The sequence below is a fragment of the Homo sapiens genome, chromosome 10 (assembly GCF_000001405.40).
Source record: "Homo sapiens chromosome 10, GRCh38.p14 Primary Assembly".
NCBI classification, from domain to species: Eukaryota; Metazoa; Chordata; class Mammalia; order Primates; family Hominidae; genus Homo; species Homo sapiens.
The window spans coordinates 124,463,038-124,487,378 of NC_000010.11; the positions used below are offsets into that span (position 1 = coordinate 124,463,038).

Sequence of the window (24,341 nt, forward strand, 5' to 3'; positions counted from 1 at the left end):
TTTGTATTTTTAGTAGAGACGGGGTTTCACCATGTTGGGCAGGCTGGTCTCTAACTCCTGACCTCAGGTGATCCACCTGCCTCGGCCTCCCAAAGTGCTGGGATTATAGGCGTGAGCCACATGCCCAGTTGATAATATTTTTAATATACTGTTTTAGGTTAAAATATTTGAAATTAAGTATACCTTTTTTTTTTAACTTTTGTTAATGTGCTTATTAGAAAACTTTAAATTACCTTTGTGGCTCTCATTATAATTCTGTTGGACTGCATTGGTTTAGGTGAGAGGAGGAGGAAGAGAACATCGTGCCAGCCAAGACTTGACCATGAGGACACTTTTTTTTTTTTGAGACAGTTTTGCTCTTGTTGCCCAGGCCGGAGTGCAGTGGCGCCATCTGGGCTCACTGCAACCTCTGCCTCCCAGGTTCAAGTGATTCTCCTGCCTCAGCCTCCCAAGTATCTGGGATTACAGGCACCCGCCACCACGCCCAGCTAATTTTTGTATTTTTGGTAGACATGGGGTTTCACCATACTGGCTAGGCTGGTCTCGAACTCCTGACCTCAACTGATCCACCTGCCTGGGCCTTCTAAAGTGCTGGGATTACAGGCGTGAGCCACCGCACCTGGCTGACACTTTTCTTTGTATAATTTTTTTTTTTGAGACAAGGTCTCATTATGTTGCCAGGGTGGTCTTGAACTCCTTGGCTCAGGCAGTCCTCCTGCCTTGGTCTCCCAAAGTGCTAGGATTACAGGCATGAGCCACCACACCTGGCCTAATTTTTTTTTCTTTTTTTTTTTTTTTTTTTGAGACAAGGTCTTACTTTGCCACCCAGGCTGGAGTGCAGTGGTTCAATCTCACTGCAACCTCTACCTCAAGGGCTCAAGAGATCCTCCCACCTCAGCCTCCCAAGTAGCTGGAACTACAGGCACGTGCCACCATGCCCAGCTAATTTTTTTGTGTTTTTTGTAGAGATGGGGTTTTGCCATGTTGCCCAGGCCGGTCTTGAACTCCTGGGCTGAAGTGATCTGCCTGCCTCAGCTCCCAGAGTTCTGGGATTAGAGGTGTGAGCCACTGTGGCCAGCCAGAAGGACACTTTCAGTAGCATGGTTGGCACCACTGGACCTGGGCTTTGTAAGGCCTCCTGTTGGCATCCCAGGTCAGCACTGCCATGTGTTGATAGGCAGCCGGGAAGGGCTAACTGCCAGGACTTGGCCTCCCGGAGTCACTAGCTGAGGCACCCTGGCTTGGTAGCCTGATGTCACTGGGACTCAATATACCTATCTGTAGGTGGCAATTAACTGAGTCTCTTGGTCCTTCTTAGAGACCCCATTCTACCAATCTGCATGTCTGATGTCTGGGAGCTGCTGAGATAATAGGGACCCAAACGGTCCCGCATAGTGAAGCCGGAGGTGTTTGGGAGGCTGGGAACTGGGAACAGGGAGACTTGGCTTCCAGGAGCAAGCACAAAGGGCAGCCCAGACCTAGGACACTCCGCTGGGTCCTGGGTCTGCTCTCAGTGTTGGCTGAAGTTCAGGGTTAAGTGCATTCCTGACCTTATTCTCCATTACTCCAAAGCTTTAGACTAGCTCAGTCACAGATGAGAGCATTCTGTGAGTGGCACTGGTGGGAATCCAGCAGAGGGCTCTGGGCAGTGTTTTGGGGTGAAGTGGGCCTCATCTGGGGAGCAGGAAGCCAGAGCTCAATGCTGTGACTGGGGCAGGCAAGGCCTCATGGGAGACCCTGCCACTCATTGCTTGCGGAAGATACATTTGACATTATCTACCAGTGGTTCCACTTCTGAGAATTTGTCCTTGTCTCATGCGTGAGAAATGACATGAGTACAAGGTCATTCCTGGCAGTACCTTTTAAATAGCAAAAGACTGGAAACAGCTCAGATACCCATCAGTAGGGGAGTATTAGGGTCTGATGTGTGGAGGGGAGAGGGACAGTAAAGCTGCAGGCACACAGGTAAATCATCCTCACAGGTGGGCACACGGGTAAAGCGCATCATCACAGGTAGGCCTAAGGGGTGTGAAGACGGGAGGGTACTGAGAGTGTGATGGACGAGGGTGGCCTGTGCTAGAGAGGGGGTCGGGACAGCTCTGAGGAGAAGGCACTGGACAGACCCGGAGGGATAAGAGGGAACTGTCTGCAGGAAGAGGCGGAGGAAGCGCATTCCAGGCAGAAGGAATGGTAGCTGCAAAGACCTCAGGAAGAGAGCACTTGGCGAGTTCGAGGGCGTGGGGTGGGGGAGTGGGTACACCAGGCAGGAACTTGAGGGGCACGGAGAGGTGTCCGGACTTTATCCTGAGTGGCAGGAAGTCAGTGAAGACTCTAGATAGGCATATCATGTGGTCTGATTTATATGTTTTAAAGAAATACAAATGTAAAAAGTGAGACATACAAGTCAAATGAAAGCAAGGGAGATTTCCTTTGAAACCTTGGAGAGAAGGCCTTTACATCCAGGCCTTGAAATCTAGAAAGCAAAAACAACGAACAAGCAGCCCAATAGCAATATGAGCAAAAGATGCAAACAGGTCATGGAAGAGGAAGTGAGAGAGGCTCCGCCTTACTCAAATAAGAGGTGTGTGATCTCGGCTCACTGCAGCCTCTGCCTCCTGGGTTCAAGCCACTCTTGTGCCTCAGCCTCCTGAGCAGCTGGGACTACAGGCATATGCCACCGTGCCCAGCTAATTTTTGGTATTTTTAGTAGAGGCAGGATTTTACCATGATGGCCAGGCTGGTCCCGAACTCCTGGCTTCAAGTGATTCACCCACCTTGGCCTCCCAAGGTGCTGGGATCACAGGCGTGAGCCACTGCGCCCAGCCTGAGAAATGCAAATTAAAACTATATCAAGCTGCCCTGTTTCATCAATTTGACAAAATTGGCCAAAATCCAAAAGTTTGAGAACACTTTCTCTGTGAGAGTTTGTGGAAACAGACCCTGCCACACATTGCTTGCAGAAGATACATTTGACATTATCTACCAGTGGTTGCGCTTCTGAGAATTTGTCCTATCTCGTGTGAGAAAGGACACAAGTACAAGGTCATTCCTGGCAATGCCTTTTAAATAGCAAAAGACTGGAAGCAGCTCAGATATCCATCAGTAGGGGAGTTTTAGGGTCTGTCTGTTTATACAGCAGAATAACATGCAGTGTAAGAAGGAATGAGTACCTTGTCTATAGACATATTACTAGTGGAGACAGCAAGCACACAGCAGGATGCACGGTGCGCTGTTTCTGGTATAGAAAATGCAGAAATGCAAGAATGTATTTCTCCTGCTGTGTTTGCATAAAGACACTGGAAGGACGCAGGCTGCTTCAGAGTCTGGGAAGAGCTGGAGGATAAGGAAAGTGGGGGCCACTGTGTGGTTGGAGACAGGGTAGGAGAAAGACTCTTCACTGTATAACTTTGTATACCAACGTTTTTGTTTTTGTTTTTGAAACAGAGTGTTGCTCTGTCACCCAGATTGGAGGGCAGTGGTGCAATTTTGGCTTACTGTAACCTCTGCCTCCTGGGTTCAAGTGATTATCCTGCCTCAGCCTCCCGAGTAGCTGAGATTACAGGCACCTGCCACCATGCCTGGCTAATTTTTGTATTTTTAGTAGAGATGGGGTTTTGCCACATTGGCCAGGCTGGTTTCGAACTCCTGACCTCATGTGATCTGCCCACCTTGGACTCCCAAAGTGCTGGGATTACAGGTGTGAGCCACCGCGCCCAGCCTGCATATCATTTTTAAGATTTTTAAACTATGTGAATGTGTTTTCTATTCAAAATATTACAATTCAAATATTAAATTGAATATTAAAATTCAAAATATTAACGTCTGGGCACAGTGGCTCATACCTGTAATCCCAGCACTTTGGGAGGCTGGAGGTAGAAGGATTGAGACCAGCCTGGGCAACACAGCGAGACCCCCATCTCTACAAAAAATACAAAAATTAGCCGGGCATGGTGGTGCACGCCTGTAGTCCCAACTACTTGGGAGGCTGAGGCAGGAGAACTGCCTGAGCCCAGGAGTTTGAGGCTGCCGTGAGCTATGAATGTGCTACTGCACTCCAGCCTGGGTGACAGAGTGAGACTCTAAAAAAAAAAACCATTGTTTTTTAAATAAAATATTTCAAGGAGATCTCTCTGGCTGCAGTGTGGAGAACAGGCTGGCAGTAGGGCAGGAGGTGGGGGGGCTTGGACTGGGTAGAAGGCAATGGAGATGGGGAGGAAGGCATGAATTAAAGAGGTGTTTTGGAAGCAGGACCTATGGGACCTGCGGACATACGGGGTATTGTGGGGGTCAGGGAGAACTTGAAATAAAGGGTGGTTTCCGGTGTCTGACTGGAACAGCTGGCAGGGTGGAGAGGGGGCAGGGAGGGGGTCATGGGGCGGGAACCATGATGGCTCATGATGTATGTCAAGTTCCTGGCCTGGTGTTTGGCACACAGTAGACCCACAACAGTGTAACATTAAAGACCACTTTCTTTTCTTTTTCTTTTTTTTTTTTTTTTGAGACAGGATCTTGATCTGTCTCCCAGGCTGGAGTGCAGTGACACAATCACGGCTCACTGCAGCCTTGACCTCCTCCTAGGCTCAAAAAAATCTTTCTACCCAAGTTTCCCAGATAGCTGGGACTACAGGTATACCTCCACATGCAGGTTTTTCTTTTGTGTGTGTGTGTGTTTTTTGTTGTTGTTGTTGTTGTTGTTTTGAGACAGTCTCACTCTGTCTCCCAGGCTGGAGTGCAGTGGTATGATCTCGGCTCACTGCAGCCTCCGCCTCCTGGGTTCAAGGGATTCTCCTGCCTCAGAGTAGCTGGGATTACAGGTGCCTGCCACCATGCCTGGTTAATCATTTGTATTTTTAGTAGAGACGGGGTTTCACCATGTTGACCAGGCTGGTCTCAAACTCCTGACCTCAAGTGATCCACTCGCCTGGGCCTCCCAAAGTGCTGGGATTACAGGCATGAGCCACCATGCCCAGCCCCCAAGGGACAGTTTGAGCCCTGGTCTGCCCAACCCAGACCCCTACTTGGAATCCTTCAGGGAGAAGGGGGTGTTGGGAAATGTCACAGGCTTCTCTAACAGCTTATTTTGAGCAGATGACCCCCACGTGATATAGAACTGTCCAACAAACGTGCAGATTCCAGGTTGTGACATTGGAAAGGGTTCTGTTAACTTCTCTGGGTTCTGGGTTGGTGTCTTCTGACTGATTGATTGCCAGGAGGGTTTTGTTTGGATTTGCTTTGGCTCCTGCAGATTTATCTAGCTGGGGGTGTCTCTGGTAGCAGCTATACTGTATACATCTAACAGCAATGTAATAACAATCCCGAAATACACCACAGCCTGTTATGTAGCTGGGAGAGGCTAAAATCTCCCTTCCCAAAAGCATATGGGATTATTTTTGGTGAGGGGACATCACACCCGTGATATGGGAGGTTTTGTTATTGTGCTGTCTGTGGGCCTGCAGAACCGATGGCCTGGTCTCTCAACCCCATGGGCTTCCCATGCCATAGGACCAAGTCCCCATGTCCTGCCTTGTCCACGAGGACCTTCTCAACTGACCTTTGTGGCCTCTTCCACTGGCCCCCAGTTACACAGACTTCTTGGTGGGGTTTTCACTGAAGGGGCCGCTGAGCTGTCCAGCACCCACAAACCTGTTTCCGCCCACACCAGCGTGCCCTTCGGCTCTCGGCAGACCTTGGCAGGGCCCCCTTCAGCCTTTCTGTTGGCTTTTAAGGGCAAGGCCCCTCCACTCTGGCCCAGTGCCTCTGGGGCCAGATCATCACCCTCAGGGCCCGGGAAGCTCCGTACACCCTCCCTCGCATGCCTGTGGGGCTCGTGGCAGATGCCCAGAGTGGCTGCGAAGGTGGTGCAGGAAACGCCCCCTCCAGGAAAGTGTGCCTGCTTTTGGAATTTTCCCTGGGGATTTTCCAGAGATGCAGGACACCTGTTTTCCTCGCCTGGTGATTGAGCCGGGAAGCCTTCATGGAGCAGGCCCTACTTGCCCAGGTGAAGTCTGTGTGGCCTGCAGCCACGGGGGCGAGTGGCCCTGCGCCTTTCATGCTGTGGCCTCCTTGATATGTACAGCCTGCTTTGAAGTCCTGCAGGAGCTCAAAGGAAGTTCCTGGGGTGAGACCAGCCGCCGCAGAGGGAAAAGTGTGATTGGAGTGGGGTGGGGGGTCTTAGGGTTGGCAGGGGGAACACATGCCTCCGTGGCAGCTCCCGGCACCATGGGCTCCCTGGCAGCATCGTCCGTTCTCTGAGCCTGCGAGGGGCGACACACTGTCACCATTCTTCTTCTTGGATTTTCTGTGATGATGGGTCCTCCGATTTTATTGAGGGCCACGGAGCACGGGGGAAGTAGAAGCTCAACTTTTTAAAATAATATCCACAGCAACAGCAGTCACCCCGCATCGAGGGAGGCCTGTCGTGCGCCAGGCAGGTGCTTAACCACCCACCTTCCCTTCACACCAGCCCCTGAGGTGGGGGGGGCTTCCTCTTTTCAAAGTGAGGACCAAAAATCGGAGAGATTCAGGAACTGGCAGAAGTAGAAAATGTTGCCGAGCCCTCATTAAAGATGCATGCACACACACACATTCGTTCATTTATTCCTTTTTTATTTTTTTTTCATTCATTCATTCCTTTACTCATACACTCAACAAGCAAACATTGAGTGCCTCTGCTGTACTAAAGACACCATCCTAGGCCCTGGGGATGTGCAGCAGTGAACAGGTGGAGCCGATGCTGCAGTCATGGGGGACCAGCAGGCGACAGCGTGCACTCGGGAAGGCTAGAGCATCTGAGACACGCAGTGAGGTGGGGAGCCCTGGGCTGGGTACCTGGCCTCGCAGATCCCATGGCGAGGGAGCTGGGATTGGAGGATGCTGAGCGAGCCAGCCAGGCAGGCATCTGGGCTAAGAGCATCCCAGATGAAGGAGCAGGAGGCCCAAACCTCTGAGGCCACACTGGTGCTGCTGGCCAGGCAGGGCCCACTTGCTGCTCTAGGACTTGTGGGTGGGCGTGGTCACAGGCCGGAGGACATCTGTAACCGGCCGTGTCCCCCCAACAGGCCCTTTATTGAAGCCCTTTCATGGGCGGATTGGGTTCCCCGAGGGGAGCCATTCAGAGGCAGGGCCCAGCACAGCGAGGGGTGCAGAGGCCGGCCTCGGGGCCCTGGGCCTATGGCTGGGAGGCATCTGCATGTGAAAGGGGGTGGGCATTTACTGCATCCTGTCTTGGGCCACTAAAGCACATCTGCTGGGCCCAGCCCAGGCCCGGCTCGGCGTTTTTGGAGCCGGCGGAAGGAAGAAGACTTGGCCCAGGGCAGCCTCATAAAGCAATTCCCACCCAGGACCGCCCCGATCGATCGGCCTGGTGCTGTGGAGCCAGGCCCACAGCCCTTCCGTCCAGTAGCACCTCTCAATCCCCTGTGTGTCTGGGTGCCTTCGGGATCCTGATAAAACGTAGGTGCCTCCTAGTAGGTCTGGAACAGCGAAGGCCAGGGCCAGGGGATCTTTGAAGTCCAGCTGGTCCTGGCACCCCAGTATCCCCTCCTTCATGCCCGGCTTCCCTGGTACCATCCAGCCCTAGGGACACAGGTCCCTGGGAGTAGCAGCAATAGTAACAACAACAACAACAACAACAACAACAACAACAATAATAATAATGTAGGCTGTGGGCCTGGGCTGGAACTTCATCTCTATTGCCTCATCCAACCCCCACACGCGGTGTGGCACCTGCCGGAGGGGTCTGGCAGGACATTGTAGGGAGAGGGCCATTTGTTTGCATTTGTTTAAGCCAACAGGAGTTTTCCTGATGCAACCTGGACCTTGGACAAGGGGTGTTTGTCGAGAACGTGCTGTCGTCACCTGTGGTCCCATTTGCTGTCAGGAGGTGAAGCACTTTGTCTTCAGAGATGGGAGCCGGTGCTCTTTCACCCTGGGTTCTGTGATTTCAGCTGTCATTTCAACATTTTAAGTTTCATAAGAAATAGGTGGCCTCCTTATGTAAACATTCTCACCAGCCTGTGAATATACAGAGTGAAAAGTCCAAGTCCTCCATCCTCGACCAAGTCCCAGTGACTTCCCCAGGGTGACACAATACATCCTTTTCCTTCGTATTCCTCAAAAGCACAGAGGATTTTGAGATGCAGCCTTCCCTGACTCTTGTCCAGTTCTGCGGGCACCTGCCCCATCACTCTTGAATGCCACCGCCCCACCATTGCCCAAGGCATGTGTTTGGTTAGTCACAGGTCACTGGAGGCTGGAGACCCCTTGCAGGTCCCCGGGCCAGGAGTTTTGAATTCTTTGTAGCCTCAGAGCACTTATCCAACCAAATGAAATTTTGAGTAGAACTCCAAAATTATATATATATAATATATATATTTATATATTATATATATATTTATATATTATATATATTTATATATTTATATATATTTATATATTATATATATTTATATATTTATATATATTTATATATTATATATATTTATATATTTATATATATTTATATATATTTTATATATATTTATATATATATAAATTTTTTTATATTTATATATTTTTTATATATTTATATATATTACATATATTTTTATATTTTATATATATTTATATATGTATTTATATATATGTATATTTATATATATTTGTATATATATTTATGTATATTTATATATATTTGTATATATATTTATGTATATATATATTTGTATATATATTTGTATATATATATATTTATATATAAATATTTATGAGAACAGTGTTTGAATAGTATATTATTTTTAATAGGGATGGGATCTTAATATATTGCCCAGGCTGGTCTCAAACTCCTGGCCTCAAGGAGTCCTCCTGCCTCAGCCTACCCAGTAGCTGGGATTATAGGTGTGTGCCACCGTGTCTAGCTCAGAATGGAATATGTTTTCTGTGTTCAAATTTATAATGTTTGTTCTGAGGTCAACTGATGAGAATGATGGAAGTGTTTTTATGAATAACAATGTTGGGCTGGGTGCAGTGGCTCACGCCTGTAATCCCTGCACTTTGGGAGGCCAAAGCGGGCAGATCACATAAGGTCAGGAGTTTGAGACCAGCCTGGCCCACATAGTGAAACCCCCGTCTTTACTAAATATACAAAAATCAGCTGGGTGTGGTGTTGTGCGCCTGTAATCCTAGCTACTTGGGAGGCTGAGGCGTGAGAATTGCTTGAACCCGAGAGGCAGAGGCTGGGGTGAGCCAAGATTGTGCTACTGCACCCCAGCCTGGGAGACACAGCAAGACTCTGTCTCAAAAAAAATGTTGAGGTCTGCAGCAGTGAACCACACAACACAGTTTATATGCTTAGAAGTTTATGTGAGTGCTGGAAGCGAGCTTATTAGGAGGGATGAGTGAATGTTTTCTGGTTTATCCAGACTTCAGACTGTTAGACAGCTATGAAAGAATGACTTCGCTCTGTTTGGTGCTGACATTAGTTTATATGATATGAGTGCTGTATATACCAAGTGAAAAAGCTGTAGAATAATGTGTATAAACTTACTTTTTTTTTTTTTTTTGAGACGCAGTCTCGCTCTGTCACCCAGGCTGGAGTGCAGTGGTGCGATCTCAGCTCACTGCAACCTTGGCCTCCCGGGTTCAAGCGATTCTCCTCCTCAGCCTCCTGAGTAGCTGGGACTACAGGCGCCTGCCACCACGTCTGGCTAACTTTTGTATTTTTAGTAGAGACGGAGTTTCACTATGTTGACCAGGCTGGTTTTGAACTCCTGACCTCAGGTGATCCGCCCGCCTCAGCTTCCCAAAGTGCTGGGATTACAGGCGTGAGCCACTGCGCCCAGCCTAAACTTCCATTTTTGTTAAGAGAAAACAAAGGAAACACAACCACCCCCGTATATCTGGGGTAGAGTCATAATAGAATCACAAACTTGAACTGTATGGAAAGAGACTGAGGAAAATCTGATGGCTGCTTGAAAGCTTTCCCGTGGCTCTGCTGGCAGGAGTAAGGTCTGCTTCTCAGTTTCTGATCTCAGCCTTGGTGGGCGGGGGTCACCCTGTGAAAATCAAGGGCAGCCAGGGTGGGTCTGGCACAGGATTATTGGTTTACCCTGCAGGTGCTGCCTCTGGTTGGAAGCCCTTGGCCAATTACAAGGGGAGTGTGGCACAAGTTACAAAGCTCATGAATGGAGTCCTGCCCCTACCCCCAGTGCCCCACAACGTGCAAGAAGCCATATTGGCAAAGCAGTGCCACACCTGCCCACTGTGGTGTGCAGGGTGATTTCCCAGGCCCCCGGCAACAGGCACGTTGCTGTCCAGCTTGTAGAGGAGGAACTTAAGGTTCACAGAAGTGATAGGACTTATTCAGACACCTTTTGAGGGGGACTGAGGGCTGCTGCTTCTGCCAGGGCAGGCACCACCTCTTACCTGTTGCAAAGCTTAATCCTGTCACAGAAAGTGCCAGGTGTCAGCTCTAGTGTGAGAGCGTGGGTTTCCAATCCCAGCTCTGCCCCATAGTTGCCATGTGGCCTCAAGGAAGTCCCTTAGCGTTCCGTCACCCCATTATGGCTGCAGCTCAAGGGCCCCAGTTTCCTATGTGTAATTCCTGTACCCAGGCTGCAAGAATTAAGTGAAATATTTTCTCTTAAACCAATGTTTGGGTGGGGCGAGGCGACTCATGCCTGTAATCCCAGCACTTTGGGAGGCCGAGGCAAGTGGATCACCTGAGGTCAGGAGTTCAAGACCAGCCTGGCCAACATGGTGAAACCCCGTCTCACTAAAAATATAAAAAAATTAGCTGGGTGCAGTGGTTTGCACCTCTAATACCAACTACTCAGGAGACTGAAGAATCACTTGAACCTGGGAGGCGGAGGTTGCAGTGAGCTGAGATTGCACCACTGCACTCCAGCCTGGGCAATACCAGCGAGACTCGGTCTCAAAAAAGCAAAAACAAACAAAAGCCAACGTTTTCCTTTTTTTTTAAGTTTTTGTTTTCTTTTCCTTTTTACCTTAAACTATCAGGAGATAAAAGCCAACGTTTTACTTATTCCATATCTAGGAGCTAAAGGAGCATTTTGTTGTTGAAGGGTCAAATAATTTTGAAGAGTGGGTTGCTTTGCCCTTTTTTTTTTTTTTTTTTTTTTTTTGAGACAGGGTCTCACTTTGTCACCTAGGCTGGAGTGCAGTGGCACAATCTTGGCTCACTGCAGCCTCGACCTCCTGGGCTCAAGCGATCCTTTCACCTCAGCCCCCAAAGTAGCTGAGACTACAAGTGCACACCACTGCACCTGGCCAATTTTTGTATTTTTAGTACAGACAAGGTTTTGCCACGTTGCCCAGGCTGGTCTTGAACTCCAGAGCTCAACGGATCTGCCCACCTCAGTCTCCCAAAGTGTTGGGATTACAAGTATGAACCACCGTGCCCGGCCATATGAAGTCTTGTAGTTGTTGAACTCGGTGTACATGCTAAACCAAAGCACACAGTTCTGCTCAAGGAGCTGTATTTTCCACATCTGTTTGTATTTTCATGAAGCCAACATAAAAGGATTCTCATCCCAGTTCTGTCCCTAGACAAGTCACTGAACCCCTCCAAACCACAGGTCCCATCTCCAAACAGCAGGTCCCATCTCTAAACCACAGGTCCCATCTCCAAACCACAGGTCCCATCTGTAAATGGAAACATGAACCCACCTCTCAGACTGTCAAGAGGATTCGATGTGAACATGCCGTTGGGGCTCGGTGGAGGAGGAGCCAGTCACCGGGCGCTGCTGTAGCCACTGCTGGGGCTCAGTTCACCCTGGGCTCCCTGCTGGTGTAAACTTTCCCCTCTTTCTAAAGGTGCCCCTGGGCGATACACTCTGGGCTCCTCCTGCTGGCCTCCTTCCCAGGGCACCTGGCTTCCTCTCAGAATGTACCTGCCCCAACAGTGGGTTTGTCAGAGACGTGGTTGTCATTGTCACCACCACAGCAATTACTGCCATTTATTTAGTATTTGAAATGTGCCAGGTGCTTCTCATGTCTTTTTTTTTTGAAATGGAGTCTCGCTCTGTCGCCCAGGCTGGAGTGCAGTGGTGCCATCTCAGCGCACTGCAACCTCTGCCACCCAGGTTCTAGTGATTCTCCTGCCTCAGCCTCCTGAATAGCTGGGATTACAGGTGTGCACCACCACACCCAGCTAACTTTTGTATTTTAAATAGAGATGGGGTTTCACTGTGTTGTTCGCCATGTTGGCCAGGCTGGTCTCAAACTCCTGACCTCAAGTGACCCACCCGCCTTGGCCTCCCAAAGTGCTGGGGATTACAGGCATGAGCCGGTGGTCAGGAGTTCGAGACCAGCCTGGCCAACATGGTGAAACCCCATCTCTACTAAAAATACAAAAAATAAGCTGGGCATAGTGGCGGGTGCCTGTAATCCCAGCTACTTGGGAGGCTGAGGCAGGAGGATCACTTGAACCTGGGAGGCAGAGGTTGCAGTGAGCCAAGATCATGCCACTGCACTCCAGCCTGGGTGACTGAGTGAGACTCCGTCTCAAAAATAAAATAAAATAAAAAATAAATAATATGATCTTCATGACAGCCCTGTCCAGTAGCTACTGTTGGTGCCTCATTTTACAGGTGAGGAAACTGAGGTTGCAGAGGGTTAGGTGACAAGCCACAGTCATACAGGGAGGAGGTGTGTCTGCTTCCCGAGCTGAGCTCCCACCTTACTTACAGGGGCCTGGCCTTTGTCCCCTGCAGCCACCATGGCCCTCAGGGACGTCGGGCTGCTGCTGAGGCTCCTAGGCTGAGGAGTGGAAGAAAGGAGCCAGGATCCCCACCCCTCACCCCCACATGCCACGAGGCATTTCCTGTCCCTCTGGGCCTTAGTATCCCCCTCTGTGAAATGAGACACTCGGGCTGTGTGGTCTCCAAAGTCTCTGGCTGCCGATTCCCATGTACTTCATTCTAAATTGCGTTTATTGATTCCTGGGACATCGATGCTTGTGGGATCAACATGTCCCTGTGATCTGGGCTCCGTGGCACAGGCACTTCAGAGAACACTCTAGATGGGAGTTCTGCCGGCAGGTGAGGAGGCGCAGGTACGGGAGGGTGTGCTGCGTGTTTTATAAGTGCCCTAGCTGGGGGCCGGCCCCAGCTTGACCTCATTGCCGTCCCGCTAAGGTGACTGCCCAGCTGACCCAGACCAGGAGGCCCAGCTAGGTCCCAGCTCCTGCGTCACTGTGTCTCTTCTCTCCATTCAAACTTTGGACTCTGATGACTCAAGGCTCTGTGCAGGTGCTCAACAGCGTCTAGTGGACCTGTTGCCCTGGCCGGTCAGCTGGAAGGAGGAGCAAGTGCAGGAGGCTCAGCTGGAGCCAGTGTGAGGCCGTGCCCTGTGCCAGGGGCCCGTGGCATCTCTGCTGTGCCCAGCCTTTACCTCGTCTCCTTCATGGCAGCCCTGGAGAGCTGGAAGGCTGGGCACCACCATCACCCATCACTGTTTATGGCTCGGGTTCCAAGACTCCACCAGCCTGGTGCGCGCGCCAGGGTGGGAAGCCAGACCCCACGCCCAGGGGACAGATGCCGATCTGTTGCTGCTCCTACCTGCAGGTGGTCCCCCAGCCCAAGCTGGTGTGCTTCATGGTGCAGGGCACGGGGTGGGCTCATGCGCACATCAGTGTGGGCGTCCCCGGGGCATATGTGAATAACTGTATTTTTCTATTGAAAAAACAACTCTGCTCTGCTTACGGGGCTCCTGCTTGACCTTCTGTTTTGGAAAATTGGATTTTTGGAGGAAATCAGCACCTTGTGGGTTTCAATTCTCCAAACATGCGTGTTCAATCTCCATTGCTTTCCAAAAGGGGAGCGACTGAAGATCTGAAAATTAGACAGTGGCTAGCACTGCCCAGAGGCCCCGTTATTAAAAACATTTCAAGGCCGGGTGCCGGTGGCTTACGCCTGTAATCCCAGCACTTTGGGAGGCTGAGACTGGCGGATCACGAGGTCAGGAGTTCAAGACCAGCCTAGCCAACATAGCGAAACCCGTCTACTAAAAATACAAAAATTAGCTGTGCATGGTGGCACGCGCCTGTAGTCCCAACTACTCGGGAGGTTGAGGCAGGAGAATCGCTTGAACCTGGGAGGCAGAGGTTGTGGTAAGTTGAGATTGTGCCACTGCACTCCAGCCTGGGCAACGGAGTGAGACTCTGTCTCAAAACAAAAACATTTCATGCCAGTGGCATTGCTGAGGGCCTGGGGCTGGTGCTGCACCTGCATCTCTTTTCACTACAACCCCCGGGGAAGGGGGTGGTCAATGTCCTTTCCCCTCTCTGAGGAAACTGAGGCATTGAGCTTGTATTTCTCTGCACTGGTTCCCATTTCAGTAGTAATAGGGACCCTCCAGCACACCAGGTGATGTCTGCAATGTGGCCCCAGAGGCAGGAGCAGGCTGGGAGTTAGGAGGCTGAAGCCTGATGTGGGGGAGCGCTGCCCCCCAACCCCACTCCCTGGGAACCAACCCTCCACCCCTTTGCCCTGCTGCCTCCACACCCCTTTCCTCTGGCTGTGAATTTCTCCATTACCAAGTGGGCCCGTCAGATCTGGAACTTGGGTCAGTTAGGTGCTTCTCCCAGTAAAGCACCTACTGTGCTGGGTACTGGGTACTGTGCCCGGTAGATTTTGGGCAGGATTCTAGAGAGCATCTGGCAAAGTTGCTGCAGGAAAGGGCCAGTCACTGCCTGCCAGTCTCGGCCCCTGTGAATGCACGAGTTGACATTTCTCAAATTCCAGCCTCACTTTGTGGGCCAGGCAGCCCTTCTGACCTATGAGCTGCCAAACTGAGCCTTTTGATGACACTGCCCCCGAGGATTCCCTGCAGCCCTATGTCCTCCTGAGCACCTGGTGGCCCCTCTGTGGCCTCCGAGACCCTGGCCTGGGTGCTCACTGCCCCTCATCCCTACACAGGAGATGCTGGGGTGACTCCTCTGTTGGTAAACCAAGGCTCTGGTTGCTGAGGATGGGGCTGGTCCTGCGCCAGGGTGCCCCCAGGTGCTGATCTTGGCTCCACTGTGGTTGGGCACCAGGCATGGCAGAGGTGCTGAGCAGACAAAACCCTGCCCTCCCAAGCCCCGGGCTTGCAGAGGAGGCAGGAGGAGGGAGGTGGTGATGTCAGGACCAGAGCAGCACCAAGGGCTGTGTGGGCGCAGCTCGGAGGATGGGATCTGGCTGGGTGCATGGCTGTGGGGCCTCCAGGAGGAAGAGGTGTATGAACCCTGCTTTGTAGGATGATCAGGGTCAGGCCCCAGGGGAGCATGAAAGCAAAGACTCAGGGTGCTATGAGGGCCTCTGGGTCACACGAAGGTGACCAGTACCGGGGCTAGAGGGCAGGGGGCCCAGCTGGGAGGGGCTCATGCTGCCCTTTTCCTGAGGCCCCCTGCTGCCTGCCCAGTCTCCCCTCCGAGGGATCCCATTCTCCCTCCAGCCTCAGGACCCTCGGCGGTCCCCAGAGGGCTAGCTATTGAGCTGTCCCAAGGTCACTCAGGATGTCCAATAATTGTCCTAACAGTTTACCTGCTGTGGAACAGTAATGAGAGGGTTTTCATTATTTGCGGGTGAGCGCTCCTGGCAGATGCCAACAGCCAGCAGATGTGGAGAGTCCGAGGTGATTTGTAAGGGCCGGTTCATCTGATGCACGGTAATTGCCCCGGGCGATGTTGTCACTCAGAGGCTCGTCCTGGCCTGCTGAGATGAGGTAAAGGTCAGTTCAAAGATCCAGTTTGGGCCAGGCGCGGTGGCTCAGGCCGGGTGCCATGGCTCACGCCTGTAATTCCAGCACTTTGGGAGGCCGAGGCAGGTGGATCACTGGAGATTGGGAGTTCAAGACCAGCCTGGGCAACATGGTGAGACCCCGTCTCTACTAAAAATATAAAAATTAGCCGGGCATGGTGGTGGGCACCTGTAATCCCAGCTACTCGGGAGACTGAGGCAGGAGAATTGCTTGAACCCAGGAGGCGGAGGTTGCAGTGAGCTGAGATTGTGCCATTGCACTCCAGCCTGGCTGACAGAGTGAGACTCTGTCTCAAAAAAAAAAAAAAAAAGATCCAGTTTGGCTACAGGAAGTGGGAGCAAATCCCCACTCCCATGGGACTCCTGGGGAGGAGGCAGCGTGCTGAGGTGGGGGCCATGGTCTCAGAGGGGCTATCTGGCAGCCAGGACCCTGCAGAAGGCCCCTTTCCCCAAGGTTCTTGGGTGGTGGGGTGGGAACAGCCCATCCCAGAGCTGGGCTTGTCCTTCTTTGCAGGGGCTCTTTGTACAGCTCTCTGCAAGCCTTGCTGGGGTCCTGGAGCCGCACCTGACTAGGGCTTTCCTGATATTTTGGAATTCTTGTACTTCATGCCTCCCAAGGCTTAGTCTGTGACATCTGGTGGCAGGCCCCACGGAGGGATGACAAGGGTTTGCTTCCTTAGCTGTCCTAGTCGGCCTGGGCTGCCATAACAAGTGCCATTGACTGGGGACTTCAACAGCAGACGTTTATTTTTTCACAGTTCTGGAGGCTGGAAGGCTGATATCAGGGGGTCGGCATGGCCAGTTTCTGGTGAGGCCCCTTTTCTGGGCTTGTAAGCAGGTGCCGGCTTGCTGTGTGCTCACATGGCCTCTTTGTGCATTCATGAGGGTGCTCTCTGGTGTCTCTTCCTCCTAGGACACTGATCCTGTCATGTGGGAGTCCCACCCTTATGCCTTCATTTCACCTGAATTACTCCACAAAGGCCCTGTCTCCAGATGCAGTCACATTGGGGGTTAGGACTCCCCATCTGGGCTCACAGGCCTTGCTGCTTACAAGCTGTGTGACCTTGGTCAGGTCTCTGTCTCCTGGGGCCTCCATCTTCTCCTTTCTAGAGTGGAGATAATGGTTCTTGCCTCATAGGCTCGTTTACCCAGTGGGTACGACTTACTGAGGGCCACCTGACAGCCAGGCACCTGGGCCTTGGGGATGTCCATTAGGGACAGCAAATACCTTGGGCACGAGGACAAAATCAGATCATGGATCCTGAGTGACACCACCGTCCTTACCCAGATGCAAGGCTCAGTATAATGTTGTATTAATATTTTACTCTTTAAACAATAGTGCCTACTTTCTTTATTTTCAGTAATTTAAAATAAGGAAGAGGCAACCTGGGGCTGGTCCCTGGTGGTCAGAATGGGTCTCTGGTGACGGCTCAAAGGGGGGTGTGGTCCGGGGCGCAGAAGGACAGAACCCAATGGGAGCGGACTTACCCCAGCATTTCACATCCGATTTTTCAGGGATAGATTTCGTCTCTAAAACTAGCACTTGATATTATAAGAGCATATAGGCTGAATGAACTTATATTGCTATTTCAGAGGAGGCCAGTGGCTTAAGAGTCCCAAAGTGAGTTCTGTGACTTACTCATGTTTCATCCACATCTGAAGTTGTGTTTGGAATAACAGATGTGAGGCACTGTCATCTCACTGTCACATCGATTGCTCACTGTTCTGAGAAGGTCACATCATCATTCATTAGCAATAATTAGTCCCAGGGGACCCCCTGCACTTCTTCACTCAACTGCTCCATTAACTTGGGTGCAAATCACACGTTCCAGGTGCCAATCAATGGAGATCTATCCATAATGTACAAGGTGACGCTATTAGTTACAATATATTAACTGCCTAATTTAAAAATAAAACTATCTTTATGAAGGGCAATTAACCACTAAGTGTAATTGATAATTCATAAACCTCTGATTAGGAAAGACAAATAATAAGAAAGGAATGAATCACCCATCCTATTGAAGAAGACGTTGCCAGCCTCTGGTCTGCATTCACTATGTGGTCAGCAGATCTACAGATTTCTTCCTAAATTGCACCTGTCAGCTCCAGGGCTGGGGGTCTGGAGGCTCATTTCAGTGCAGAAACATGTGTTTTCACCACTGAAGCCTGTCTGTTTCTGTTGGGGGTTATAAGGAGGCTGCAGGCTCAGGACACCCTCAGGGAAGTAGTGGGTGAGGTCATTTAGACTTCTCAGTCAGTCAGTCATTCAGCAAATGTTAATGGGGGATTGTGGAGTGCCAAGCCCTGTGGGAAGCCCTGGGGATGCCGTGGAGACCCGAATAGATTCATCCCTGAACTCCTGGAGCTCGTAGGCCAGTGAGAAAGACAATTGCGTAAATCAGATGATTGGAGACACTGGTTAGTGTTACAAACAAAAACTGACAGAGACAGGGCGGAGGCAATGGCACACTGGATGGTGGGAGGAAGGGACATTGGCCTGAGTCCTGCCACCTTTTTGTAGTAGCTGTCACTACCACTCATGGCTGTATTTGGGGCCCTCTCTCACTGGTGGGGAATCGTGCCTGGCTTATCTGCCCCCTTTTTTTTTTTTTTTTTTTTTGCGACAGAGTCTCACTGTGTGACCCAGGCTGGAGGGCAGTGGCTTGATCTTGGCTCACTGTGACCTCCACCTCCTGGGTTCAAGAGATTCTTCTACCTCAGCCTCCCGAGTAGCTAGGACTACAGGTGCCCGCCACCACACCTGGCTAATTTTTTTTGGTATTTTTAGTACAGACAGGATTTCTCCATGTTGACCAGGCTGATCTCAAACTCCTGCCCTCAAGTGATCCACCCACCTCGACCTCCCAAAGTGCTGGGGTTACAGGACTGAGCCACCATGCTCTGCCTTATCTGCCCTCTCAGTGGTCCTCCACTCCAGCCTCATTTCCTGGCTCCACCTTCCACATACCCCACGCTGCTCGAGTTCTTTCTATCCGAGAGGGTGGGGCCAGTGCACACCTGCCTGTGCGCAAGGTGGGTGGCCCTTCCCACCACCTGGCCTGCCCTTTCCTGCCATCTCCTTGTCCGTCCCTCAGGTCTCCAGTTGGGCCTGAATCCCCAGTCTTTTAAGACCCCACACTGGGCTGTGTCCTTTCCCCACTATGTGGGAGAGCTCCAGGAGTGCTGATTTCCTGTTCCTGACTCCACTGTGTGTAGATATCAGCTCCATCTCCAAAGTCTCAGGCTCAAGAGCGGAACAGAAAGCCCTTGACATTTCTGGGATTCAGTCCCTCACCCATAACATGGATAAATTACATTCACACTGGGTTCAGTTTGAGTTGAGTTTTTAGTTGGGTCTCACTTGCTCAGATGGAAGTTGATTTCAAGCCGTAGTTCTAGTAACTGGGTTGAATCTGCGTGTATTCATTTCATTGGGCCACATCTGTAAACAGAACTTGAGCACATGCCTCCTCTCTATGTGTGTTTTCTATAAATTTTAAATTATTCATTTAACACTATTGCTTAGGTTATAAAAAATACACAACTTGAAAGAATAGGTGAAGAGCCAAGATGTCTGCATCTTTGGAGATCAGTGGAATGTGTGTGTTTCGGGACCTGTCTGAGAACAGTGCCAGATGCAATTAGCATGGCTGATTAATTTTACTAGGGTTTCTTAAAAGTGCCTCCCGGCCCTTGGGCTTGCAGCTTGATGTCTTTTCCACGAGTCCACACTGCAGCTCCATGCAGATGTCAAATATGACCGCTGCCTTGTTGGGGCCGGTTTGTCCAGGAAGGGATCTTGTGATCTTGGCGAGGGAGCCAGGTCCTGCCTGTCACCCTCCCCCCAGGTCTGAGTGACCCACCCCGCCTGCCTCTGTAGGTTCCTCTAGCACGCTCGGGTCCCTTCCTGGTGGGCGCCAGGTCCTCCAGCCTCCTCTCCCTGCACAGAAGCACCACACCCTGGCCCTCTCTCTTGCTTCCCCAGGGAGGCCTCCCCTGACCTTCCTACCCCACCTTGTCACCCTCTGTCTGCTCACCCTGTTTATATTCTGCATAGCGTCTCTCTCTTCTCAGTCACAAATTGCCCTTCCTTTGCAGGGTCTCTTGTTCCTATTCCAACCTCCTCCTATTCCAACCTGGATGGTGGCCTGGAGATCAGGGAACTTTTCCATGCTCACGACTACAGCTCTGTGCACCAGGCCAGTGCCAGGCACGTAGTAGGCGCTCAGTGACAGTTTGCAGAAGGGTGGATGTTACTTCATTTGGTGCGTTCTGAGAACTTGCCCAGGTGCAGCCTGGATTCGCGGGTCTCCTATGAAGTCAGGAGGGAAGAAGCTCGGTGCCGCCGGCCAGTGGCAGCATCCTGAAGTTCATGAGACCTCCAGGCTGGGTTTGGGCAGGGTCCACGTCCTGTCTGTCCATCCCGGAATGTTGGTGTCCCTGATGACTTTGGCAAACCTTTCTCCATTGACAGTGATGAGAAGACAAACCTGTCTCGGGCCATCTGCCTTTGTACTTTTTGGGAAGTATGGATCCAGAGTTAGTAAGGCGTGGACGTGTGCAGCTCACTTGCAAGTGGAAATGCCAAATGTGGTGGAAAGGGACAGAGAAATAGCTGTGGACATTCAGAGGTGGCCCCTAGCCAGGCTGAGCAGGATTGTGGAGAGGAGGTATTGCATGGATCTCAGGGGCTGGGTAGAAGTGGCCAGGCAGGTGGGCCAGGCACGGTGGCTCACACCTGTAATCCCAGCACTTTGGGACACCTGAGGTCAGGAGTTCGAGACCAGCCTTGCTAACATAGTGAAACCCCATCTGTACTAAAAATACAAAAAATTAGCCAGGTATGATGGCAGGCGCCTGTAATCCCAGCTGCTCTGGAGGCTGAGGCAGGAGAATCGCTTGAATCTGGGAGGCGGAGGTTGCAGTGAGCTGAGATCATGCCACTGCACTCCAGCCTGGGCGACAAGAGCGAGACTCCATCTCAAAAATAAAGAAATAAAAAAAATAAAGAAGTGGCACAGGTAGAGAGGCGGGGGGACAGAGTTGCATTCCAGGCAAGGGGAGAGGCAATGAAAAGGGGGGTCAGGTGGGGAACCTCGGGGAGCCTCAGGTGTATGAAGTCCAGTGAGGATGGAAAAGAGTTGTCGGGGCGTGGTATGGGGGTCCTCTGAGAAGGGATCTGCTTCAGCTCAGAAATCCCAGCCTGAACACATCCTGGATCAGCCAGGACCCCCTCAGGGGCTCGCAGTGGCCTAGTCTGCTCTGGGCTTTGCTGGATGCCCTTCGAGAATCACCGCGCAACCTCCTTCAGAGGCCCAACACTCCACGTGCTGACTTCCCGGGCCTGTGTCTCCCCTGCCGCAGACTGAAGCGTTCCCGGCTGAAGGTGAGGTTCTGCACCAACGAGTCGCAGAAGTCCCGGGCAGAGCTGGTGGGGCAGCTTCAGAGGCTGGGATTTGACATCTCTGAGCAGGAGGTGACCGCCCCGGCACCAGCTGCCTGCCAGATCCTGAAGGAGCAAGGCCTGCGACCATACCTGCTCATCCATGACGGTAGGCCTGTCGGACACCAGGACCTCACGGGGGTGAAAGCTCCCCTTTCCCAGGGTGGGGGCTGTGCAGAGAGCCTCTTTCACTGGGCCAAACCACTGACTGAGCTAGGCCACCAACACTCATGGGTTGGGGGTAAAAACCTCATGGGACTTCCTGCTGGGGGCTGGGGGCAGGTTAGGACCCAGCTCTGTCCATTCCTTGGCCTCACACCAGAGGGTCCTTAGAGCAGGTTCTGGATGGCTCCTGGGAGGAAAATCCTAGGCTCTCTTTCCTGATCTAGGATGGACCAAGCGGCCAGGGAATTGTCAAGGTGGCGGAGTTCTAGCTCCTGTTGAGAAAGAGACAGAGAGAGAGAGAGAGAGAGAGAGAGAAAATGAGAATGAGAATGAATGAATATAAATGAGAAGCTACATTGAGGTCCATAGCTTCTAACGTCTGGCACCATAGCCTTCAACTATGTGAAAACCAGCCCTGCTCTTTGGAACAGTTTGCAAATGGCGTAGGAACAAGGTTTGCATCCTGATTTTAGTCTGAATGCAAGAACAGACAGCCCCTTTGACCCTCAGTGGGGAGGTTTTCTTGGAATGAAGCAGAAGGAACAATATTACTGGTGCCTCCTGAATATTTAAAAAGAAGAGACATTAGCAATTCCAGACACTTCTCCATTGGTCCACTGCACCTTCTTCCTTCCTCTGCACTTGATATTTTTAGTTTTACAAACTGCTAGGCAGAGGCAAACATGGTTTTTTCCTTTCCAGGGCAAGGTGGGGGCTCTCAAGAAGTGGCGGGTGCTCCCTGGAAAGCCTAGATGTCGACTTCATAGCCCTGGTGCCAGTTAAGGGTGACAGGCCTGGCCTTTAGAAATCATGTTTCTCAAAATTCCTTCTCTGTAATCTAGGATCCCTGCTAGTGCCTTTAGAACATGGTCTTCAAAGAAAGAAGATTTAAGAAAAATATCTTGCCCCACCCTCCAGAAAAGGGTTGCTGGACCCGGGAGTGGAGCTGGAAGAAGCCAGCAGGAGAGGGAAGTGGGCATCCGCTTGGAGGGTGGCCTTGGCCAGTGAATCAGACAAGCAGACGGCAAAGCTGGGAGGCTGAAGGGAGGATGAATGCCCTTCCTCAGCTGTAATCCTGCATCCGTGTTTTCAATAACTAGACCCTTGTTTTCAGACTTGGAATTTTTTTTTTCAGTCATTGGTGGATTTTCTGTCTAACATTTTATGAAAATTTTCAAGCATCCAACAAAGTTCAAATAATTTTTACTTGGAATAGTTTTGGTTTTTTTTTTGGAGACAGAGTCTTGCTCTGTCACCCAGGCTGGAGTACAACAGTGGTGTGATCTTGGCTTCCTGTGACTTCCGCTTCCCTGGTTCAAGCGATTCTTCTGCCTCAGCCCCCCAAGTAGCTGGGGTTACAGGTGTGTGCCACCACGCCCGCCTAATTTTTGTATTTTTAGTAGAGATGGGGTTTCACCATGTTGGCCAGGCTCGTCTTAAACTCCTGACCTCAGGTGATCCACCCACCTTGGCCTCCCAAAGTGCTGGGATTACAGGCGTGAGCCACCGCCTCCGGTCTTACTTGGCATAGTTTTATACCCTTCACCTAGATTGTCAATGACATTTTTTGATATTTTCTTCACTTTATATCCATCCATCCCTCCGTCTGTCTATCCATGTTATTATTTAGATGCATTTCCGAGTAAAATGCAGACACGGGTATACTCCCCTATACACTTCAGCATATCATTGGAGTTTGGTATTTGTTTACGGTTTTTCCTGTTTGATGTAAAATTTACATACAATGAAATGTACACACGTCAAGTGTACTTTTGCTGAGTTTTGACATATGCATGCACCCATGGAACCCAACCCCGTGAAGAGCTAGACCATCACCATCACTGACAGCTCTGACAGCTACCTCGCACCTTGCCCAGGTGGTCTTCACCCCTTGTCCCCTTAGAGGCAACCACTGTTTGGATTTTTTCCGTTATAAATAAGTTTTCCTATTCTAGAATTTTATGTAAATAGAATCATACAGTATATAATTGTGCTGGGGCCTCCAGTGCTACCCCCAGGCTGAATGATTCATTAGCAGGACTCACAGAACTTAGAAAAGGTATTACACTCCCAGTTAGACTTATTACTGTGAAAGAATAAAGATTAAATTCAGCGAAGAGAGGAGACACATGGGGCAAAGTCTAGGAGAAGACAGGCATGAACTTCCAGTTGTCCCTTCGAAATGGAGTCCTACTGGGCACACTTGATTCTCCCAGCGATGATGTGTGACAACACATGGGAAGCATTGGCCACCAGGGAAGCTCACTGGAGCCTCAGTGTCCAGGGTTTTTGTGTAGACATTAGCACCTGTGTGACTGACTTTAGCGACTCAGTCTCCAGCCCCACAGAGTCCAAACTGATACAGCTGGGCCAGGGCCGCAGGGATACAGAAACAGGTGTTCACTGTAAGCCAAGCTGTTAGCGTAAATGATCTGGTCAGACTGAGAGAGCAGGGCCCGAGGCCTTGAGCATACAAAACCCCTTATCAGGTAGAACATTGCAGTGGCTCAGAGGTTATCTCCCAGGAGCCAGTCCTGAAGACAGGCCTTTTTTGGAATGTACAGGGTTTGAGCAACCTAGTCCTGCTGAGTTAACCCTTTCCGTCACAGTAGTCTTTTGTGTAAGGCTTCTTTTACCCAACGTAATGTTTTTGAGACTCATCCATATTATTGCATGTATCAGCAGTGTTGTTCATTTTTATTGCAGAATAGTATTCCATTGAGTGAACAGACCACAGTTTATCCATTCACATGTTGTTGATACCTGGATTGTGACCAGTTTCAGTCTATTATGAGCAAATCTGCTATGAACATTCTTACACAGTTCTTTTGGGTAAATACCTAGCAGCGAAATTACTGGGTCATAGGGTACATGTATGTTCACCTTTGTAAAATTCTGCCAGACCTTTTTTTCAGAGGGATTGCAATATTTTACACGTCCTCCATCTGCTGCAGCTGTTCAGTATCCTCACCAGACCTTGGTGTTATCAGTCTTTT

The 24,341-nt window shown here is 50.6% G+C and overlaps 1 protein-coding gene across 9 annotated transcripts in view, besides 9 other annotated features; it reads left to right on the plus strand.

The window, feature by feature from the left end:
• The window catches only part of LHPP (phospholysine phosphohistidine inorganic pyrophosphate phosphatase), a 152,319-nt gene that overhangs the window by 1,215 nt on the left and 126,763 nt on the right, over nt 1-24,341 (plus strand). For all 9 annotated transcript variants that reach the window (XR_001747177.3, XM_005270026.4, NM_022126.4 and 6 more), the window contains exon 2: nt 21,102-21,289. Coding sequence is in view for 8 of the 9 variants with exons in the window: in XM_005270026.4 (XP_005270083.1) it covers nt 21,102-21,289 (188 nt within the window). In the remaining variant the exon portion in view is untranslated. The remainder of the gene's footprint in view (nt 1-21,101; nt 21,290-24,341) is intronic.
• Nucleotides 642-1,142: an enhancer, noted in NCBI's record as "H3K4me1 hESC enhancer chr10:126152248-126152748 (GRCh37/hg19 assembly coordinates)". NCBI's record gives its function as "activates a minimal SCP1, AML or CMV promoter by ChIP-STARR-seq in primed H9 embryonic stem cells {active_cell/tissue: H9 hESC(primed)}" and the evidence as "EXISTENCE:reporter gene assay evidence [ECO:0000049][PMID:30033119]".
• Nucleotides 1,143-1,643: an enhancer, noted in NCBI's record as "H3K4me1 hESC enhancer chr10:126152749-126153249 (GRCh37/hg19 assembly coordinates)". NCBI's record gives its function as "activates a minimal SCP1, AML or CMV promoter by ChIP-STARR-seq in primed H9 embryonic stem cells {active_cell/tissue: H9 hESC(primed)}" and the evidence as "EXISTENCE:reporter gene assay evidence [ECO:0000049][PMID:30033119]".
• Nucleotides 5,353-6,310: an enhancer, noted in NCBI's record as "H3K27ac-H3K4me1 hESC enhancer chr10:126156959-126157916 (GRCh37/hg19 assembly coordinates)". NCBI's record gives its function as "activates a minimal SCP1, AML or CMV promoter by ChIP-STARR-seq in primed H9 embryonic stem cells {active_cell/tissue: H9 hESC(primed)}" and the evidence as "EXISTENCE:reporter gene assay evidence [ECO:0000049][PMID:30033119]".
• Nucleotides 11,763-12,263: an enhancer, noted in NCBI's record as "H3K4me1 hESC enhancer chr10:126163369-126163869 (GRCh37/hg19 assembly coordinates)". NCBI's record gives its function as "activates a minimal SCP1, AML or CMV promoter by ChIP-STARR-seq in primed H9 embryonic stem cells {active_cell/tissue: H9 hESC(primed)}" and the evidence as "EXISTENCE:reporter gene assay evidence [ECO:0000049][PMID:30033119]".
• Nucleotides 18,103-18,254: a silencer, noted in NCBI's record as "fragment chr10:126169709-126169860 (GRCh37/hg19 assembly coordinates)". NCBI's record gives its function as "represses an EF-1alpha promoter that drives an FKBP-Casp9 reporter gene in an ReSE screen in both phorbol 12-myristate 13-acetate-treated (for megakaryocytic differentiation) and untreated K562 erythroleukemia cells {active_cell/tissue: K562 | K562(+PMA)}" and the evidence as "EXISTENCE:reporter gene assay evidence [ECO:0000049][PMID:32094911]".
• Nucleotides 18,494-19,030: an enhancer, noted in NCBI's record as "H3K27ac-H3K4me1 hESC enhancer chr10:126170100-126170636 (GRCh37/hg19 assembly coordinates)". NCBI's record gives its function as "activates a minimal SCP1, AML or CMV promoter by ChIP-STARR-seq in naive H9 embryonic stem cells {active_cell/tissue: H9 hESC(naive)}" and the evidence as "EXISTENCE:reporter gene assay evidence [ECO:0000049][PMID:30033119]".
• Nucleotides 18,663-18,957: a silencer, noted in NCBI's record as "tiled region #8895; HepG2 Repressive non-DNase unmatched - State 23:Low, and K562 Repressive non-DNase unmatched - State 7:EnhWF". NCBI's record gives its function as "represses a minimal TATA promoter and a strong SV40 promoter by Sharpr-MPRA in HepG2 and K562 cells {active_cell/tissue: HepG2 | K562}" and the evidence as "EXISTENCE:reporter gene assay evidence [ECO:0000049][PMID:27701403]".
• Nucleotides 20,641-21,177: an enhancer, noted in NCBI's record as "H3K27ac-H3K4me1 hESC enhancer chr10:126172247-126172783 (GRCh37/hg19 assembly coordinates)". NCBI's record gives its function as "activates a minimal SCP1, AML or CMV promoter by ChIP-STARR-seq in primed H9 embryonic stem cells {active_cell/tissue: H9 hESC(primed)}" and the evidence as "EXISTENCE:reporter gene assay evidence [ECO:0000049][PMID:30033119]".
• Nucleotides 21,178-21,713: an enhancer, noted in NCBI's record as "H3K27ac-H3K4me1 hESC enhancer chr10:126172784-126173319 (GRCh37/hg19 assembly coordinates)". NCBI's record gives its function as "activates a minimal SCP1, AML or CMV promoter by ChIP-STARR-seq in primed H9 embryonic stem cells {active_cell/tissue: H9 hESC(primed)}" and the evidence as "EXISTENCE:reporter gene assay evidence [ECO:0000049][PMID:30033119]".